At 37.1% G+C, this 21,693-nt stretch overlaps 1 protein-coding gene across 6 annotated transcripts in view, besides 2 other annotated features; it reads left to right on the top strand.

Annotated features, from left to right (window-relative positions):
* The window catches only part of THSD7A (thrombospondin type 1 domain containing 7A), a 461,834-nt gene that overhangs the window by 321,220 nt on the left and 118,921 nt on the right, over positions 1 to 21,693 (top strand). The window lies entirely within an intron of this gene.
* Positions 11,899 to 12,399: an enhancer, noted in NCBI's record as "H3K27ac hESC enhancer chr7:11538207-11538707 (GRCh37/hg19 assembly coordinates)". NCBI's record gives its function as "activates a minimal SCP1, AML or CMV promoter by ChIP-STARR-seq in naive H9 embryonic stem cells {active_cell/tissue: H9 hESC(naive)}" and the evidence as "EXISTENCE:reporter gene assay evidence [ECO:0000049][PMID:30033119]".
* Positions 12,400 to 12,900: an enhancer, noted in NCBI's record as "H3K27ac hESC enhancer chr7:11537706-11538206 (GRCh37/hg19 assembly coordinates)". NCBI's record gives its function as "activates a minimal SCP1, AML or CMV promoter by ChIP-STARR-seq in naive H9 embryonic stem cells {active_cell/tissue: H9 hESC(naive)}" and the evidence as "EXISTENCE:reporter gene assay evidence [ECO:0000049][PMID:30033119]".

The raw sequence follows: 21,693 nt of genomic DNA, 5'->3' as shown, positions 1-21,693 counted from the left end.
TTTCCTAATTGAATACCCTTTATTTGTTGCTCCTGCCTGATTGCCCTGGCCAGAACTTCCAACACTGTGTTGAACAGGAGAGGTGAGAGAGGGCATCCCTGTCTTGTGCCAGTTTTCAAAGGGAATGCTTCCAGTTTTTGCCCATTCATTTATGACAGACCCATATTGGCTGTGGGTCTGTCATAAATAGCTCTTATTATTTTGAGATACGTTCCATCAATACCTAGTTTGTTGAGAGTTTTTAGCATGAAGGGCTGTTGAATTTTGTCGAAGGCCTTTTTTGCATCTATTGAGATAATCATGTGGTTTTTGTCTTTAGTTCCTTTTATATGATGGATTACATTTATTGATTCGTGTATGTTGAACCAGCCTTGCATCCCAGGGATGAAGCCAACTTGATTGTGGTGGATAAGCTTTTTGATGTGCTGCTGGATTCGGTTTGCCAGTATTTTATTGAGGATTTTTTCATCGATGTTCCTCAGTGATATTGGTCTAAAATTCTCTTTTGTTGCTGTGTGTCTGCCAGGCTTTGGTATCAGGATGATGCTGGTCTCATAAAATGAGTTAGGGAGGATTCCCTGTTTTTCTGTTGATTGGAATAGTTTCAGAAGGAATAGTACCAGCTCCTCTTTGTACATCTGGTAGAATTCGGCTGTGAATCCGTCTGGTCCAGGACTTTTTTTGGTTGGTAGGCTATTAATTATTGCCTCAACTTCAGAGCCTGTTGTTGGTCTATTCAGGGATTCAGCTTCTTCCTGGTTTAGTCTTGGGAGGGTGTTTGTGTCCAGGAATTTAAAACAGTTTCTTTATCCAGTCGTTGACTGATCGGCATTTGGGTTGGTTCCACTATTTTGCAATTGTGAATTGTGCTGCTGTAAACATGCATGTGCAAGTATCTTTTTCAAATAATGACTTCTTTTCCTCTGGGTAGATACCCAGTAGTGGGATTGTATGTATTTATGGGTATGGTGTGATATTTTGGTACACGTATACATTATGTAATGATCAAATCAGAGTAATTAGCATAGCCATTACCTCCAACACTTTTCATTTATTTGTGGTGAGAACAGTAATGCTGATTATCTTCCAATGTTCAGATTCTTAATATGTCATTTAACTTATTTTTGATTCTTCAGATGTTATTTTTTTTTTTTTTTGAGACGGACTCTGGCTCTGTCGCCCAGGCTGGAGTGCAGTGGCCTGATCTCGGCTCACTGCAAGCTCCGCCTCCCGGGTTCATGCCATTCTCCTGCCTCAGCCTCCCGAGTAGCTGGGACTACAGGCACCCGCCACTGCGCCCGGCTAATTTTTTTTGTATTTTTAATAGAGACGGGGTTTCACCGTGGTCTCGATCTCCTGACCTCGTGATCCACCCGCCTCGGCCTCCCAAAGTGCTGGGATTACAGACATGAGCCACCGCGCCCGGCCTTATCTTTTAATTTTAAAATTTGTAACTGCACTGTTAACATGGATCATCTGTAAATTGTAAATATTAATTTACATACATAGAAAAAGCAGCATTGAAAAGTTATTTGGGTTCAATACATTTCTAACCTTTGAAATCAGATTGTATGGTAGCTAAATCTGGAACAATTTTGTTGGATGAGAATGTGTAAAGGAAATGTCTAATTTTTGACTTTATATTATATAAGTCAGTTATTGTGTCTTGAAATGATTGCAGTTCATCACTGCTCTAGTACTTGCCAATTGCTATGCATGCCGTAAACCAAAACATGTCCATATCAAAGCCCCAAAGAAAACTGTTTTGTTCCCAGTGGAATATAGAAAGCTAAAAACATTAAACTTTAAAGTTAAATTTAAAAGTTAATATTTAAAGATTTAAAAATTATATGTAAAGTGTATATTTTTAAAGTTTTATTTTGTGGTAAGAATACTTAACATGATGAGATATACCCTCATATTTTTAAGCATATAATACATTATTCTTGGCTGTTGGTATAGTGTTATATAGAAGATCTCTAGAGTTTATTAATCTGGCTTCACTGAACAATTTGTTGGTAAGTCTTCATTTCCCTCTCCTACAGCCCCTGGCAACTACCATTCTACTCTTTGATTCTATGAATTTAACTATTTTATATATCTCATATAAGTGGAATCGTGCAGTATTCATATTGCTGTGACTGGCTTATTTCACTTAGCATAATGTCTTCAAGATTAATCCATGTTATTGCATATTGCAGAATTTCCTGCTTTTTTAAGGCTGAATGTTATTCCACTATGAGTATATACCACATTTTCTTTATCCATTCATAAATAGACACTTAGGTTGTTACCACATGTTGACAATTGTGAATAATGCTTCAATGAACATGGTAGTGCTAATATCTCTTTGACATCCTGATTTCTGCTTTTTGGGATAATTACCCAGAAATGGGGTTACAGCATCATGTAGTAGTTGTATTTTTAATTTTCTGGTGAACCGCCATATCATTTCTCAGAGCAGCTACACCATTTTGTATTCTCATCAATAATGTACAAGGATTCTAATTTCTTCATATTCTCACCAAGAGTTGTCTTTTTTTTTCACCTTTTGTTTTTGCTTTGCCTTTGCCTTTGATCATAGCTGTTCTGACAGGTATGAAGTGGTATCTCATTGTGGTTTTATATGCATTTACCTGATGATTAGTGACACTGAACATTTTTTCAAATACTTGTTGGCTCGCTGTATTTCTTCTTTGAAGAAATGTCTATCTAGTCCTTAATCTACTTTGTAATGCAGTTATTCTTTTTGGTTCTTTGTCTCCACCCAAATCTCCTCTTGAATTGTAATCCAAATTGTAATCTCCAGGGGTCCAGGGAGGGACCTGGTGGGAGGTGATTGGATCATGAGGGTGGTTTACCCCATTCAGTTCTCATGACAGTGAGTGAATCCTCACAAGATCTGATGGTTTTATAAATGGCAGTTTTTCCTGCTCTCTCTCTCTCTCCTGCCACCATGTAACACATGCCTTGCTTACACTTTACCTTCTGCCATGATTTTAAGTTTCCTGAGGCCTCCCTTGCCATGCAGAACTGTGAGTCAATTAAACCTCTTTCCTTTGTAAATTAGCCAGTCTCAGGTAGTACCTTTACAGCAGTGTGAGCACAGATTAATACATAAGAGTTCCTTATATTTTACATGTTAAGCTTTTATCAGATGTATGGTTTTAAAATATTTTTCCCATCCATAAGTTGTGAATAATACATTAAAGCCTTACAATAAAAACCAAATATTTCTTCCACTGTATATATAAACAGAAAACATGAATACTTTCAGAATATTTACTCATTATAAAAATATGCCAAATTAGTATTATTAGCAGTATTATCTATTTGTATGTAACAACTCCAGCAGTTAAAAATTAAAAAAAAAAAAACACACATTATTTCATGGAAGAGTCAGTGAACTTGTAGAGCAATAAAAATCATACCTGGATTAAATAATCCTAAATAAGGATAATATTTTTGTTACTTATTTCATACACAAGTCAGTATAAACACTTGAAGAATAAAGCAGAATCATGAATTTATGGATTCAGCATAGTATTCGGGCATACAAATTTCCCAAATTGCCATTTTAGATATTGTTATAACAATATATAAAGTCACTAAAGCACTTTCTTTTGAGTTATCTTTGTATTGGTGAGAATTGCAGTGATATCTACATAATATAAGGCTTTATATTAGAAATTTAACATGAACTCACCCCAGAAAAAAATTTAAGTTGAAAAATTAAAATGTAGAGTGAGTATCCCTAATACAATGCAGTCTTTGACTTGTTCTTCATATTACTTTCGAGCTCTTCTAAATTGCTCTTTAGAAATCCTGGCTTGCTTCAAGGTCCATAGTACCTCACTGTGACTGCTTAATGTCTTTAGGTATCATGCTCACTTATTTACTCAGAAAACATTTAATAAGAATGTTCTGTGTGTCAGGAACTTTTAAAAATCACTAGGCCTACAGCAATGAGAGATGAACAGACAGTACCCCTGACCTGGTAGAACTTACATTGTAGGGAGAAGAGACAGAAAATAAACACACAAAAAGATACAGTTCATGATCAACATATCAAAATTGTGAAAAGTATTGGGGAAAAAAACAAAGGGGTACGGTGATGGAGAGTGACAGGTGGGTCATGCAAAGACTCTCTAGGAAGATAGAAGTTAAATGGATACTTGATATCAGGGAGCAGGCTGAACATCAGAATTCCCAGAATAAGCAAATATCAGAGAGGAAAGTGTTAGAACTGGAGGGGAGAACAGAGACAGTAGAATGCTTAAAGTGTTCCAGGAACATTGAAAGGCCAGTAAAGCTGAAATGGAATAAGGGAGAATGAGAAGAGTAGAGGGAGCCAAGAAGCAGATCATACAGGGCCTTTTAGAAGTTGGGAAATAATTCCATGTTAATGGAAAGCCACTGGAAGGTTTCCACAGAGAATGTTGTGATCTGAACTATGTTTTAAAAGGCTTATTCTGACTGCTGAGTGGAGAACATACTGTGAGAGAGCAAACATAGAAGGCAGAATCTGGAAAGTGACCACATCAGTCATGGAACCATCAGGATGTAAATGAATGTAGTACTAATAATGGCCACAGAAAGCAAGTTAAGTTCTTATAATTAGTGGTGAAATGCATTCTCTTTGGTGAAGAAAATATGTAATTAACAGAAAAACTTTAAAAATCAAAACATCAGGCCCAGCGCGGCTCACTCCTGAAATCCCAGCATTTTAGGAGGTTGAGGCAGGTGGATTACAAGGTCAGGAGATCGAAACCATCATGGCTAACACAGCGAAACCCCATCTCTGCTAAAAATACAAAAAATTAGCCAGGCGTGGTGTCACATGCCTGTGGTCCCAGCTACTGGGGAGGGCCCCCTTTTGAAGTTAAATTATCTGCATGTACTGAGGATGCTGCTTCATTCCTGCTTCAGGGACTGTGCCACCTCTGGACAATCTCTTTACCTCTTTTTGTCTATCTTGTTCTCATAAAATTGTATTTAATTTGCTTCAGAAGTGCTTTCAAAAACAGGTGCTCTTTGCAAAGCACTCTTAGATTCCCCATCCCGCAAGTCCAGATTCTTCTCATGTCAAGTCACTACGAGAAGAAGAAACTAGATAATGAGCCCCATAGTTATATAAATCTCAAGCCACAGTGCTTGTCCTAGTAATATGGTAACTGCACAGATGGCAGTCGTTTGGCATGCTTCATATCCCAGTTATTCTGAATCCTAACCTCACTTCTCAGCATGTAAAATTTGCCATAACCCTATTGACTGAACACCCAATGTTGTATGCATTCTTATTTTTCATTCTAATGGAAAGGATTATTCTTCCTGAACCCATCCAAGCCTTTTATTATGTGAATTCTTTAGTGTATTTTAATTGTTTGCCTTAAGTTATATTCAAAATGCCTCCTTTTAATTTAGATGTTTCTATCTTTGGCAGGGTTTCTATTCCCAATTCAAGTATGAGAATTACTTTGCCTTCTTTCTTTTGTCTTCTGTTCAAATCTTTTAAATTAAAAAAAAAAAAAACTTTACACTGGTAGTGTTAGTTTTCGGAAACCTAAGGTGTAGCTGAGGGTTCTTTTAAGTACTGAAATCATCAGTATTTTAAGTTGAAAAGGAAAAGGAAATTAGACTCTCATATCAAATATTTGAAATGGATATTTGAAGTTAGTAGCCCTTGTAAAACATTTTGAGAGAAGAATTTGGACGATTAATGAAATTAGCTACAAAACTTAAACTATTATTTTCTTTTATCAAAGAATTTTAGTCTTCTAGTATTTAGAATATCCAGATTTTCCTTTCAAAACATAATTTAGTTTTTTCATCCTCTAAAGCTTCATGAATTCAAGACTTTTTCTAAGCAATGATATTTTTATTTAAATCTGCTTAACTTCCTACCGAACCAAATGAGAATATGATGGCTGAAGTTAAGTTTGACAATCAGGAGTTCTGAAACATGCCTGCATCTCTAACTAGTTGCCTTATGCCTACAACAAAGATATTACATACCTTAGCAGTTATTATTTTTATTAAAGTGTTTTGGATTGTTTACCTTAAATATATTTCCAAATCTCCTTTTAATTTTGCCAGTTTAATAATACATACAACTAAAATTTACAAATAAATGCAATAAAAAAAAAGGAGTTAGTTGTCCTTTCTTTTTAAACCATCCAGAAGAAAATGGTTCATGCAAATGTATCAGGCAAATGGATGGTGGAATTGATTTACTGAGTTGAATCTCAAATTTTGCTAAATGATTATCACAATCATGAAAAATTTGGCCCAAGATGAATGTTTAACTCTCAAACATATTCAATTTTGTTACAATATATGTAGATTATTATCTTACCTGCCACATCCTGGACTACTTCATATAGATAGCTCCAGGGAAAACCCCACTTTGTAGGCCAGATTATATCTAGGGTGTGTTTGTGTCATTTTTTAAAAAAGGAATAATAGCGGACAGTTATTCTTTTTAAAATTTTTTTTATTTTAGGTTTGGGCCTACATGTGATGATTTGTTATATAGACAAACATGTCACAGACTTTTGTTGTACACATTATTAGGTTGGTGCAAAAGTATAATATTACATTACCCAGGTATTAAGCTCAGTACCCCATAGTTAACTTTTCTGCTCCTCTCCTTCCTCCCACCCTTCCCATCAAGTGGACGCCAGTGTCTCTTATTTCCTTCTTTGTTTTCATAAGTTCTCATAATTTAGCTCCCACTTATAGGTGAAAGCATGTGGTATTTGATTTTCTGTTCCTGCATTAGCTTTCTGAGGATGATATCCTCCAGCTCCATCCGTGTTCCCACAAGAGACATGATCTCGTTCTTTTTTATGGCTGCATAATATTCCATGGTATATATGTATCACATTTTCTTTATCCAGTCTGTCATTGATGGGAATTTATGTTGATTCCATGGCTTTGCTATTGTGAAAAGTGCTGCAGTGAACATTTGCATGCATGTATCTCTGTGGCAGAATGCTTTATATCCCTCAGTGTGTATACTCAGTAATGGGATTGCTGGACCAAATGGTACTTCTGCTTTTAGCTCTTTGAGGAACCACCATACTGTTTTCCACAATGGTTGAACTAATTTACGCTTCTACCAACAATGTATAAGCATTTCCTTTTCTCTGCAACCTTGCCAGCATCTGTTATTTTTTAACTTTTTAATAATAGTCATTCTGACTGGTGTAAGATGGTACCTCGCTGTGGCTTTGATTTGCATTTCTCTAATGATCAGTGATATTGAGCTTTTTTGCATATGCTTGTTGGACACATGTATGTCTTCTTTTGAGAAGTGTCTGTTCATGTCCTTTGCCCACTTTTTAATGGAGTCGTTTGTTTTTCTTGTGTAAATTTGTTTAAGTTCGTTATAGATGCTGGATTTTAGATCTTTGTCAGATGCATAGTTTGCAAATACTTTCTCCTATTCTGTAGGTTTTTTGTTTACTCTGCTGATAGTTTATTTTTCTTTGCAGAAGCTCTTAAGTTTAATTAGATCCCATTTGTCAATGTTTGCTTTTGTTGTGAAAATTGACATCATTGTCATGAAATCTTTGCCCATTCCTGTGTCTAAGATGGTATTGCCTAGGTTGTCTTCCAGGGTTTTTATAGTTTTGGGTTTTACATTTAAGTCTTTATCCATGTTGAGTTGATTTTTGTATATGGCATAAGAAAGGGGTCCAGCTTCAATCTTCTGCATATGGCTAGCCAGTTATTGCAGCACCATTTATTGAACAGGAAGTCTTTTCCCCATTGCTTGTTTTTGTCAGCCTTGTCAAAGATCAGATGGTCGTAGATGTGCAACCTTATTTCTGGGCTCTCTATTCTGTTCCATTGGTCTATGTGCCTGTTTTGGAATCAGTACCATGCTGTTTTGGTCACTGAAGCCTTGTAGTATAGTTTGAAGAGGGGAATGTGATGCCCTCAGCTTTCTTCTTTTTGCTTATGATCTCCTTGGCTATTTGGACTCTCTTTTGGTTTCATATAAATTTTAAAATAATTTTTTCTAGAAGAATGAAGAATGTCAAGAATGTTATTGATGGATTGATAGGAATAACATTGAATCTGTAAATTGCTTTGGGCAGTATAGCCATTTTAATGATACTGATTCTTTCTATCCATCAGCATGGCATGTTTTTCCATTTGTTTGTGTCTTCCCTGATTTCATTGAGCAGTGTTTTGTAATTATTTTAGAGATCTTCCACCATTCTAGTTGGCTGTATTCCTAGGTATTTTGTGTGTGTGTGGCAATTGTGAATGGGATTCCCTTTCTGATTTGGTTCTCAGTTTGGTTGTTGATGGTGTATAGGAATGCTGGTGATTTTTGTACATTGGTTTTGTACCTAGATTATTGAGAGTTTTTAAGATGAAGGGATGTTGAATTTTATCAAAAGACTTTTCTGAATCTATTGAGATAATCGTGGGTTTTTTTCTTTAGTTCTGTTTATATGATGAATCACATTTATTGATTTGCATATGTTGAACCAGTCTTGTATCCTGGGGATGAAGCCTACTTGATAATGGTGATTTAGTTTTTGACGTGCTGCTGGATTTGGTTTGCAAGTATTTTGCTAAGGTTAGTTGCATCGATGTTCATCAAGGATATTGGCCTGAAGTTTTTGTTGTTGTTGTGTCTCTGCCATGTTTGGGTGTCAAGATGATGCTGGCCTCATAGAATGAGTTAGGGAGAAGTCCCTCCTCCTAATCCTTTTGGAAGAGTTTCTGTAGGAATGATACCAGCTCTTTATACATCTGGTAGAATTCACCTATGAATCTTTTAGGTCCTCCTGGGCTTTTTTGTTGTTGTTTTTAGTAGGTTCTTTATTACTGATTTAATTTCAGAGCTCATTATTGGTCTTTTCAAGGAATCAATTTTTTTCCTGGTTCAGTTTTGGGAGGGTGTGTATGTCCAGGAGTTTATCCATCTCTTCTAGGTTTTAGAGTTTGTGTGCATAGGGTTGTTTGCAGTCATTTCTGATGGTCATACTTATATTTCTGTGGGATCAGTGGTAACATTCCCTTCATCATTTCTAATTGGGTTTATTTGGCTTTTCTCTCTTCTATTAGTCTAGATAGTGGCTAAACTATTTTATTACTTTTTTCAAAAAAACAAACTGCTGGATTCATTGACCTTTTGAATGTTTTTTTGTGTCTTAATTTCCTCCAGTTCAGCTCTGATTTTTTGTTATTTCTCATCTTCTCCTAGCTTTAGGGTTTATTTGCTATTGCTTCTCTAATTCTTTCAGTTGTAAAGTTACATTGCTAATTTAAGTTCTTCCTAACTTTTTGATGTGGGCATTTTAGTGCTATGAATTTTCCTCTTAACACTGCCTTAGCTATTTCCCAGAGATTCTGGCATGTTGTATCTTTGTTCTCATTATTTTCAAATAACTTCTTGATTTATGCCTTAATTTCAGTATTTACCCAAAAGCCATTCAGGAGCATGTTGTTTAATTTCTATGTAATTGTCTGGGTTTCAGCAATTTTCATTGTGTTGATTTCTATTTTTATTGTGCTGTGGTCCAAGAGTATGTTTGGTGTGATTTTGGTTCCTTTACATTTGTTGAGGACTGTTTTATGTCCAATTATGTGGTCAATTTTAGAGTATGTGCCATGTGGCAATGAGAAGAATGTATATTCTGTTGCTTTTGGGTGGAGATTTCTGTATAGTCTATCAGGTCCATTTGGTCCAATGCTGAGTTTAGGTCCTGAATATCTTTATTGATATTCTGCCTCAATGATCTGTCTAATACTGTCAGTGGAGTGTTGAAGTCTCCCACTATTATTGTGTGGGGAGTCTATGTCTCTTTGTAGGTCTCTAGGAACTTGCTTTATGAATCTGGGTGTTCCTGTGTTGAGTGCATATATATTTAGGATAGCTAAGTCTTCTCATTGAATTGAAACCTTTACCATTATATAATGCCCTTCCTTGTCTTTTTTTTTTATCTTTGTTGGTTTGAAATCTGTTTTGTCTGAAATTAGGATTGCAACTCCTTTTTTTCTTTTTTTTTTTCTTTCTTTTTTTGAGACAGAGTTTCACTCTGTCACCCAGGCTGGAGTGCAGTGGTGCGATCTCAGCTCAGTGCAACTTTGCCTCCCAGATTCAAGCAATTCTCTGCCTCAGCCTCCCAAGTAGCTGGGATTACAGGCACCCACCACCACGCCTGGCTAATTTGTTGTATTTTTAGTAGAGATGGGTTTTCACCATCTTGGCCAGGCTGATCTTGAACCTACCTCGTGATCCACCCGCCTTGGCCCCCTAAAGTGCTGGGATTACAGATGTGAGCCACTGCACCCGGCCCCTTCTTTTTTTCTTTTTTCCATTTGCTTGGTAGATTTTTTTCCATCCCTTTATTTTGAGCCTACAAGTGTCATTATATCTGAAATGGGCCTCTTGAAGACAGCATACCTTTGGGTCTTGCTTTTTTATCCAGCTTGCCACTCTGTGCCTTGTAAGTGGGGTTATTTAGCCCATTTACATTCAAGGTTAGTATTAATATGTATGGATTTGACCCTATCATTGTGCTGTTAGCTGGTTATTGTGTTGGCTTGTTTGTGTGGTTGCTTTATAGTAACCCTGGTCTGTGTGTTTAAGTGTGTTTTTGTATTAGCTGGTAGTGGTCTTTCCTGTCTATATTTAGTGCTCCTTTCAAGATCTCTTGTGTGGTAATGAAGTCCCTCAACATTTGCTTATCTGAAAAGCATCTTATTTCTCTTTCACTTAGGAAGCTTAGTTTGGCTAGATTTGAAAGTGTTAGTTGAAGATTTTTTTTTCTTTTCTTTAAGAATGTTGAATATAGGCCCCCAATCTCTTCTGGCTTATAGAGTTTCAGCTGAGAGGTCCATTCTTAGCCTGACTGAGATTCCTTTGTAGGTGACCTTCTCTTACTCTTTAGCTGCCTTTAACATTCTTTCATTTCAACCTTGGAAAATCTGATGATTATGTATCTAGGGGATGGATGATCTTCTTGTGAAGAATCTTGCAGGAGTTCTCTTAATTTCCTGAATTTGACTGTTGGCCTCTCTAGCAAGGTTGGGGAAATTTTCATTGACAATATCCTGAAATATATTTTCCAAGTTGTTTGTTTTCTCCCCCTCCCTTTCAGGAATGCCACTGATTCATAGATTTGGCCTCTTCACATAATCCCATACTTCGCAGATGTTTTGATTATCCCTTTTTAATAGTTGTTCTTTATTTTTGTCTGACTGTCTTATTTCACAGAACCAGTCTTCAAGTTCTGAGATTCTTTTCTCAGCTTGTTTTATTCTGCTGTTAATACTTGTGATTGCATTGTGACATTCTTGTGTTATTCAGCTCTGTCTGACCCATTAGATTCTTTTTTGTACTGGCTATGCTGTCCTTCAGCTCCTGTATTGCTTTACTGTGATTCTCATTTTCCTTGGATTGGGGTTTGCCATCCTCCTGAATCTCAGTATCTTTGTTCCTATCCGTATTATGAATTCTATTTCTGTCATTTCAGCCAGTTGAGTCTGGTTAAGAACAACTTGGCACTCCTAGGCTGCCCACTGAAGCTCTAGGGAAATCTTGGTGTTTATATTTCTTCTTCAGCTTAGGGGCAACAGAGGAAGACATCTTATTAGTGGTTGTGGTCAAGTCATTTGCTTGACTCCTGAGAGTCAGAGAGATGCATGTCAACTCAGTGCAGTCAGCAGGTCATGCCCAGTGTAGTCAGCCCAAGATGGAAGGTTTGTGCTGAGGGCCCAAGCCAGGAGTTCCCTGTCTGGTGACAAGCCATGAAGGGTGTGTGGATCCCACAGGAGTTGGACTGACCGCCTCTCCTTGGGTCAACTGCAGCTTGTTGGAGGTGTGGATAAGGCCCTTAGGGTCTTTGCTCCTTCATTAGTCTGAGGATGGCAAGGGCTGTTCCACTACAGAGGCAGTGGCAGAGAGGCTTTCATTTGCCCCTGGAGGCTCTGTCAAAGGAGTTGCTGAGTTGGTACTGGCTTGATAACTCCAGTGCAAGGTGGCTGAAGATCCAGGCTTGGAGGACCTGCCCAGTGAGGAGATATGAGAACGGGAACCCATGTAACAGTCTGGCCACTTTTCCATAGGGCTGCTGCTGTATGCTTGGGGCCTGCTTCAGTCCCTAGTCACCTCGGATTTTCTGGAACCTGGAGGTATCACCAGTGAAGACTGTGAAACAGCAAAGATGGCATCCTCTCTCTCCCTCTAGGAGCTTTGTCCCAGGGAAGTAGGGACATTTTTGCCACCCAAAGGCATCTGCATGAAGTGGCTGGAGACCCTAGTTGGGAGGTCCTGTCCAGTGAGGAGGAATAGGATGAGGACCTGCTTTAAAAAGCAGTCTGGGCATGTTTTGATAAAGCAGCTGTGCTGTGCTGGGGGTCCAGTCCACTTCAGCCCCCGGTCACTTCAGATAGCCAAAGGCTGGAACAGCTAAGTCACCAACAGCAAAGATGGTGGCCCACCCTTCCCTCTGGGAGTGCAGTCCCAGGGGGAATTCAGATCTCTGTCAACTGGAGAGCTCAAGCAGGAGAGGCTGGAGGTCCCAGTTGGGAGGTTCCACCCAGTGAGGAGGAAGAGGATTGAGCTCCTGTTTAAAGCAGCAGTCTGGCCACATTTTGGTAGCACAGCTATACTGTGCTGGTGGATCCCTTTCACATCTCCAAAGCCTAAAGGCTAGAATGGCCAAGGCACCCAAACAGCAAAGATGGCAGCCCGCCCCTCTCTCTGAGAGCTCCTTCTTAGGGATTCCAAGCCAGTGGGTCTTATCATATGAGGTGCCATGAAAGTGGGGTCTGTGGGCTGTTATGGATCAGCCCCATGGCTTCAGCCTCTTATCTAGGGGTATGTACAGGAGTCTAAGCTCCCACTTTGATGGAGCTGCAGCTACTTTTGCCAGAAGGCCCAAGTATCTAAGGCTCCAGGGTCTTCACACATGCCTGAGCGGCTGCTCTGCCAAGACTCCACATAGCTATATTGGACTGAAGACTGAAGGTGGAGTGGGTTCTCAAAGAGATCTCCTAACCCAAGGGTTGCAAAGATCTGTGGGGGAAGCATGGTTTCCCGGGATCGCTTATTCACTCATCACTTCCCTGGGCAGGGGATGGTCCCCTGGCTCCATGTTGCTCCCAGGTGAGCCATTGTCTTGTCTTGTTTTTCTTCCCTCTCTGTGAGTCAGGTTGTTTCCTTGATTAATCCCAATGCAAGTACCTGGAAGTTTCAGTGCAAGGTGTTATATTTACTTGCCCTTCTGTTCCTCTCCCTGAGAGCCACAGCTCTTAGCATACTAGCTGCTTCTAGTCGGCTATCTTGGCTACTAGTCAACAGTTATTCTTAAGATAAACATTTTCCAAGTGGAAAGTTCTATTATGTATTAAAGATTATTGAGAGTACATTATACTCCAAAAAATGTATTTACCAAAAAAATGACCAGTGTTTTCCATATCTTTGAAACAACATTGGATTGGTAATTGGCTTTGTTTGAACTACTTTCTCAGGAGTTACCTTATTCCTAATGTCCCCTAAAGAAATGCAATGAGGTACATTTTTATCAATACCATTAGTTTTATATTTGACAGATGCACCAAAATATCTGGCCTATCTCAACAAACATATGTCTATTATCTTATTGATTGATATGTTTTGGCTGTGTCCTCAACCAAATCTCATTTTAAATTGTAGTTCCCATAATCCCCACACATTGTGAAAGGGACCTGCTGAGAGGTAATTGAATCATGGGGGCAGTTTCCCTCATCCTATTCTCATTATAGTGAGTAAGTTCTCATATGATCTGATGGTTTTATAAGGTCTTCCCCCTTTACTCAGCTCTCATTCTTCTGCTTCCTGCCACCATGTGAAGAAGGATGTGTTTGCTTCCCCTTCCACCATGATTGTAAGTTTCCTTAGGCCTCCCCAGCCATTCTGAACTGTAAGTGAATTAAACCTCTTTCCTTTATAAATTACCCCATCTCGGGTATCTCCTTATAGTAATGTGACAATGGACTAATACATTGATTTACGTTGGATAGCTTAATTTCTGGACTCATGACATCTATATTGTCTGCTCTAATAAAGTCTCACAACTTTTTAGCCTCAGTGTCTTTATTTACCTAGATTCAATGATTGTTGACTTTGGTTCTACCCTTGGTTGGCTAAATGTTTTCATTTGTTTATTTTGTTTCAAGAACATTTCATTGTATGTTTTGCATGTTTGAGTGAAATTTGCCACTTTTATATTTCATCTGTATAGTTTCCTTACTTGTAGAAGTGAGATAATATCTCCTGCTTCTAAAAATTAGTGTAAGCAGCTTACGTAGCCACAGGCTCCTGGCCCTTGGAAGAAGTGTAATTTATTTGTGTTCCTTAGTGCATTAGATAGTTGAGCACAATGCTGTGGAGGAATATCTATCATCTCTGTAACGATAATTTGGCCTCATACATGAAAAAAATTACGGATGTCTCAGCCCTAAACCCCAGGTCATATGGTCACTGAATCTCCAACTCCATCATCAACTTGTGTAACCTTGGGCAAGTGTTTTCCATACTATGGGCCTCATTTCCTAATCCTTAAACTGGATCACCTCTCGCATATTTTCTTGCCACATACAATAGTGTATTATTGAAAAATCACAAGAGAAGACAAATAAATTAAGCTAGTCTCTCACACTAAGAGGGGACAGCATAGTATAAAGTTGGGGACATTAATCAACTTCCATGGTTTTATTTCTCTGTAATATGGGTATAATAATCATGTCTACTTCATAGAGTTGTTGGAAAATTATATCCGCTAAATCCTGTAAAACACTTAATGCCTGGCACATAACATTGCACAATAAAAGTCAGCAATTATTAGTTCCATGTTATAATTTTATGTTCATGACTTTCAGATTAGAATTCAGGAACATTATAGTCACATATAAGCATAGCATTTCTGCATACTTCTGATTCTGTAGAATATATCACTTTAAAAATTCATGATACCAGAAGACTAGCTGACAAGATTCTCCCATTTGGGTCTCTATTAGTATTCTTTCCATTGACTTCCCAGTAACTTAACTTGTCTAAAAATCTTAACTCTCCAAATCCCCTGTTATTTCGATTCTGTGTATTTCATCTCATCCATTTTCCCCCGGCTTTGTAAGTCCATCCAAACTCAAGCAAAGTAGCTTATTATTCTTACCCTCAGGGTAAAGACTTCAAAAGTCTCAGCACATTATCTATGAAACTCATTCTGCCTGCATCTTCTCTCCTTGTTTGATCACATAGGCAGCCTCTATTCCATCTTTAATATGTGCACATAAGCCAAACCCTTTTTAAGATTTTTCTAGTTCAATAGTGGTTTTGATTTTGTAATGGCTTCTAGAGAGCAGTATCTTGGCATACGATGCTAGAAGATACAGTTTTGCAATAGAAAATCTTCAAATTGATTTTATGTTATCTTCTTTGAAACTGTTCACCAACTACTACAGAATTGGGAGGTAAAGGTGTCAGTTTGTAAGTGAATGTGGTAATGATTTCCTTAGTATCCTAGCTGATCTTTGGCAAAAGCATTCACGTATAAGTGCTGTTTATTTCTCTTCTTTCTTTATTTGCTTATCCATCATATTTTTAACATTTTTCTCATAAGCACCTACGGCCAAGGGTCTTCTAAAGTTTACCTACTTACTGCATTTGTTCTGAGCCACATATTATAAAAATATGATATAAAACAGCACATACATACAGGATGTTACGTATTTTTAAATAAAGGTTAATTTATAAATCAGATGAAATTTAATCTCAATGAGCAATGATTTGTAAGCTAGACTTTTTAAACTTTTCTAGTGAATATAATGTTTCTGGCAATTTAGCAAGCTACAAGTTTGAAAAAAGAAATGCATCAAAGGTCAAGTTGCCCATAAAAGCATTACTGAAATGTCAAAAACAATTACACTGCACAGAAGAATAAACCCCCAAAGATATTAAACATCCATTTATGAAAAGTCTTCTTCATACTGCAGTTTCATCTCCCAAACTCATACATTTGATTATTTCCAAATTTTAATATGCTACATAGAATTAATATATTTTAAGCATAGATTATCTCTGAAAGAAAAAGAAAACTATATTTTAGAAAATGCTGTATTATAAAGGTTTAGGTAAAACATAAGCTTATTTATTTTACCAGCTTTTATGAAGTGCCCATAAGAATGCTCGTGCCTGGAAGTTATCATATGATGTAGAGAACATAGACTTTGGAGTCTGGGAATATGGACTAGAAATCCTGCCTTTGTCACTAAATAGCTGGTAACTTCGGGCAAGGAGAAAAGAATTCTTTTTGATTCTGTATTTCAAATGCCATAAAATGTGATTTTACTTCCCACTTGAATTGCCATATTATCATGCTTGAACACAGTAGCTATTCATAAGTATTATTTTCTTTCCTTTCATCCCTGGATGTAATAATCAGTGTATAACTAATAGATTTTTAAACAGTAAAGCAACATTGTAAAAGAATGTTAGATTATTTTACCTGGAACTTTAGTCATAGGCTGATTTAGATTGGGGAGAGGTTTGAGTCTCTAGTTCAATCCTGTCATTTGGGGATTTTTGTGGTCCTTGTTTTGTTTTGAAATTATAATAAAAACAGTGGGAATTAAGAGTGGAGGACTTATAAAGAAATGGTTGATTAAACCCAGAGGTTTTATTTATAGTATTTAACAAAGTATTTAGTGACAAAGGCACAGGCACTGACCAATCAGAAGAGAGGCCATGACCAGTTGGTTTTGTTTTTAAAACTCAATATGTCTTTATCCATGCAGACCAGCCCACATCAACTGACTATTTGTGCCACATTGGCATCAGAAAATTGTATATAATATCTGTAGCCTAATGTAATTATGTTTCAATTTTAGAGACTATTTTCTTCCTTCTATAGGAGCAAAATTCCCACTAACGTTTATCTGTACCTGCTTTTAGATTTTAGGTAAAATTATACTAAGGTGTATTGGTATAAATCTGTGTGTATGTGTGTGTGTGTTTCTTCAGAGCAGTAATTGTATTTTATTGAATCATAATTAAATGGTCCTCCTAACACTCGTCAAAATACCTTATAAACTAGATGATATTACCCCCAAAGGTTTCTATTAGGCAACCACTACCATAAAACTTCATTACCTTCTCTGTTCATAGATGACCATGAAACAAAAAAGAGTCCAGTCTGGTTTACTTATGGCTCTTTAAAATACTTAAATAATTGCTTCAACTCAGAGCATGAGATGAACAACAAAAAAGAACTCTTTGAAACAAATTAAAATGGTACAATGGGCCAATATTGTTTACCTTCAATTAAATAACTATATGTAAATTCAAGTTACAAATATGACTAGGAGAATTTGGTTTGAACCATCAACTCTTTCTTCTTACATATTGGATTTTAAACAGGAATGAGCAGACATAGTAGTTCCCACATACTAATGCATCAGAAGCATTAGGGACCTTTAAAAATGAATAACCCTAATATCTTCCCCTGTCCATCCAATTGAGTAGTTCTCTGATGGAACTGAAGATAGGATTTTTAGAAACTTCCCATCAGGTTTGAAACGTGTGAGCTAGACTCATTCTTCTATCTTTTTCAAGATCTTTGTTCTCGTTGTTCTTTAATTTCAACGTATGTTGACTGGTTCCAGAGTTCCATCTTGGCCCATCCCAAACTCACCAACTTTTTATCAGGTCAGATATGAACATTTTATAGAACTCTCTGCCTTGTTTTCTGCAAATATTCATTAACCATGATTTGATTTGGTTTGATTAATAGACACTTTCTTTGTCAATCAACAAGCTAATGATGCTTTCTGTATCAGCTATATACGTTTTATTACAAATTCTTACAAATGTTAATAACGCTGAGACAGCCCTGAGCAACTTTTCATAAATGCTAACTGTTGATGAAATGGGCTGGGAGTTCCTAATACATGTGTGGTTCCCAAGGTGGAAGAGAACCACTTCTGACCAACTTATAGAGCACTTCCTCCATTGCTGAAATTTCATTCTCCCTAGGATTCTTTTCCTGTGATCTCCTAGCAGACAACTATGAAGATTAAAGGGTCAGACTGTGATTTACTCAGCTGCAGGCCTTAGGCTAGTCTTTACGGTTCAAAGTTTTTGTGTTTTTACATGGGGTTCATAGAGGATAGAGTGGGAAGTTTTGGAAAAGTTTAATGGTGATGATTAATTCTTTGGATTAGATTCTGCTTCAAAGCCTTCCCACATAGACCAGTCTCCTACATTTATATTGCTCTTCCTCATTTCCAAGCACTTAGCTTCAGTTCTCTCCAAATATTGTTCAGATTTCACTGCCTTAGAAATGTTTTCCTTTATGAACTGTGCCATCTCTAGTCACTTCATCAATCCACAATCTCCATCAGTGGGTCAAAATTTTACACTGTGTTTACTGGTGCTTGTTTTCGTGTGATAAATATAGAATGTGTAAGTCATTTGGTCTTACTCATCCTGGCAAGATTCCAAAGTCAAATATAGTTATATTTAAGCTATTTCATAATTTCCCCATTACCCAGTAGACTTGTTTGCACACTGTGATCTTGTAATAACTGTCTGTGGAATATGTGGTATAACTATACTTTCTTTTTATTTTTATGAATCTGAAAGAAATCCCAAGCAGTAGGAGTACAGAAAGAGAGGCAGTAATCATTGTTTTAAGCAAGAAAATTTACAAATTGAAGTTGGTTTTTAGCCTAGTCCTTAAGAGTTGATAAAGGCACAGAGTCATCCTCTTCCAGTCCATGGGGTCTTTTGCACCTTTTCTGGTTGCAAATAGAGGATAGAAAATGGACTTGCTAGACAAGGTGTGTCAAGTGGGGGCAGATGGCGGAATGTCTCTAAAACACAACAGACGTGAATGCATGCTTGATCAGGAGAACCACAGAGAATCATTAGAGGGTGTAATGTAGTCACAGCAGTGTGGCTGGCAAGCTATTTGGCTGATAATTTGCAGGACAGATTGGAAGTGTGAAGACCCCTCAGAGAAAAAAGTGTGAGATAACCAAGACTTAAGAATAGAAAGAAAGAAAGAAAAAGCCACTCAAAGGGCTCACCCAAAAAGAGCGTTGCAAGGCTCCACGAGGGACTAACTTGAGATTAGAACTCATAAGCTTCCTTAGTGTGATGGAGGGCAAAGCTGGAGAGATCAACACAGGAGCTGTATTTCATCCCAGAGTAAACGGAATTCTGTTGAAGCACTTGATGTGGAACCATCTATTTATGTAAGCTCTTAAATTAATTAAGCCAATAAATTCTGATGAATGTGACTATTTGGGTGATTGTATTGATTAACTCTTCAAATGACTATGATATATAATTTATCTTATTTAGTAGCATAATTCCTCTCATTAAGTACTGTAATATAGCTCAGTGTAACTGTATCATAGCACTTCCAGAAAACATTTGTTTTTCTTCCTGCTAGAAGATGCCTGAGAAGATTTGATGACCAAATGTAGCTGTGTATAGCTGTTTAAATTACAGTTTTGAAAAGTTCATGTTAATTACGTAGTCCAGAGAGAAAGGGGACTAAAGGAACTTTATAGAATGCCATGTGTCTTAGTACTCCTACTGATCACTGTGAGCTAAATATTGTGTAGTACAACTTTCAGTCCAAATTTTTAATTGAAGCCCAAAGATACTTAGAACCCAACTCTAAATAATTTATAAAATATGGACTATAAAATTTAACAATCAAAAATTACGTAAGTTAGCTTTTCCTAGGATTTCTGGATTTCCTCGCAACCTTAGCACTTTAACAAAAGGAAAAATGCAAAATTACTGAATGATGAAGATCATACTCTGAGTCTAGTACAATGTATATACCTGTAACTTTCCACAAGTCCACACATAAGCAAAATTCGGAAAAAATGATTAAGTACATCAAATCAAGTGAATTGGAACACAGTGGGGTTTAGAATGGAGCAGATCCATTTCTGTAGTAGTATGGGAGGGATGGTCAACTCCTCCACAGATGAGTGATGAAAATAGCCTCATGCTGCTGTCATATTGAACAAACTTTATGTGCCAATAAAAATTTTTCTCAGTTAATATGAATGGGAATACCATAAGTACTATTATTAGCTTCCATTAAGATTAAGTAAGTTTTAGAATAGTTAAATTATCTGCTCAAGGGCACATTAGTGGTAAGTGGGAAGCCAGAATTTGAACTAGTTACTAAAAAACTAAATGTGGAGCACATGAAAATTAACATTTTAGGTCATTTCAAGCTTAAAAACAACTGAGAGGAATGAAATCACAAGAAAGAACTATTCAAGAATGAAGATATAAAATGAATAACTGGGGAAAAAAGGAATAAAACATTTTTCACACCTTTATTCAAAATACATGTGCATTTGATTATACCCATACTGTACACTCAGAGAACATGCACATGTACCATGATAGTTGGCATTAAACAGGAGCAGAAGTCATGAGTCTCATGTCAAAGCTTACAGAGTACACACATACCCTTTTTGTCTGTCTAACCTCAAGTGAAATCCTTAACCAGAGTTATTAGGAAGGGAAGTCATAGATGTTTTAATAAAATTTGTTTGCCTAATGCCCTGCTTACTAAGTGGGCAACTTATATCATGGGTGGGTTAAATTCAATGAAATAAGAAAATGCAAAGTTATGATTGGATTTAGCCCTAAATTTTCATCATGTATTTAAAGGTCATGTTATTTACTGCACTTTGTTAAAATGGGTTCTATCTCCGGAATGAAGTCAAATGTGATATTATTGATTACAACAAAGCCTGGGCTGGAAAGTGGGTGCTATCAGAAGAAGGAAGACAGCCTTTTACCCCAGCATCACCTATTCATTTTGCTAGGGTCATGAAGGAAAAATATGAACATAAATATATGAACAGAAACTTGAGATTTTAAAAAGTGACAGGGAAGAGAGCATAGTGGAAACATAGGCAAACTTATTGTGAATAAAAAGGGTTTTGAAAATGAAATCCCTGAAAATAATTGTATCATACTGTGAAGACTCCCAGGTTTCTTAAAGATATTTAAAAATCAATAGGTAAATATATATGTGGGGGAAAAAAGAGAAACCTAAAGATAATATATCATTATAAATTGAATATCAAGGGTTTGTTAAAGTTGTACCAGACAAAGCTAAACTAGCAAAGAAAAGTGTATTTGAGATTATTAAAACAGGAGAAGATTGAACTCAACTCTTGCAGTAATATTTTTAAATACTGGAGTGACCTAGTGGAAAAAGTGCTAGAGGACGTTAGGGGGTGGGGTGAACAGTGGGATATGCCAAGCACATTGGGTTATTCCTGAGTTTGCAAATGCTTTTCTCTATGATTAGTCCATCTGTGTTTGCCAATTAATGCCTATAGAAGTTAGGTACCTGCCCTCCTACAGAGACTGGGAGCTCAGAGCACTATTTCCCTCAATGTTAAAATTTCAAAGACCCAGTTCCTATTTCCTTGAGAAAGATAATTCCTGGTTTGCAAAACTGGCAAGAGGCTGGGAGAAGATTTACATACATTACAAAGGGGCAGAGAAAGAATTACAATTGCAAGTTTCCTAAAATAAGTCCTTTAAGAAAAAAGAGGTCAGGGGCCTATAGCCAGGAAGAAATCTGCCTAATGCTTAATCAAGCTGAAGTGAATTTCAAGGCCTTCTTGGTTAGGTTC

This window comes from Homo sapiens, chromosome 7 (assembly GCF_000001405.40).
Source record: "Homo sapiens chromosome 7, GRCh38.p14 Primary Assembly".
NCBI classification, from domain to species: Eukaryota; Metazoa; Chordata; class Mammalia; order Primates; family Hominidae; genus Homo; species Homo sapiens.
This window is presented reverse-complemented; position numbering and strand designations above follow the sequence as displayed.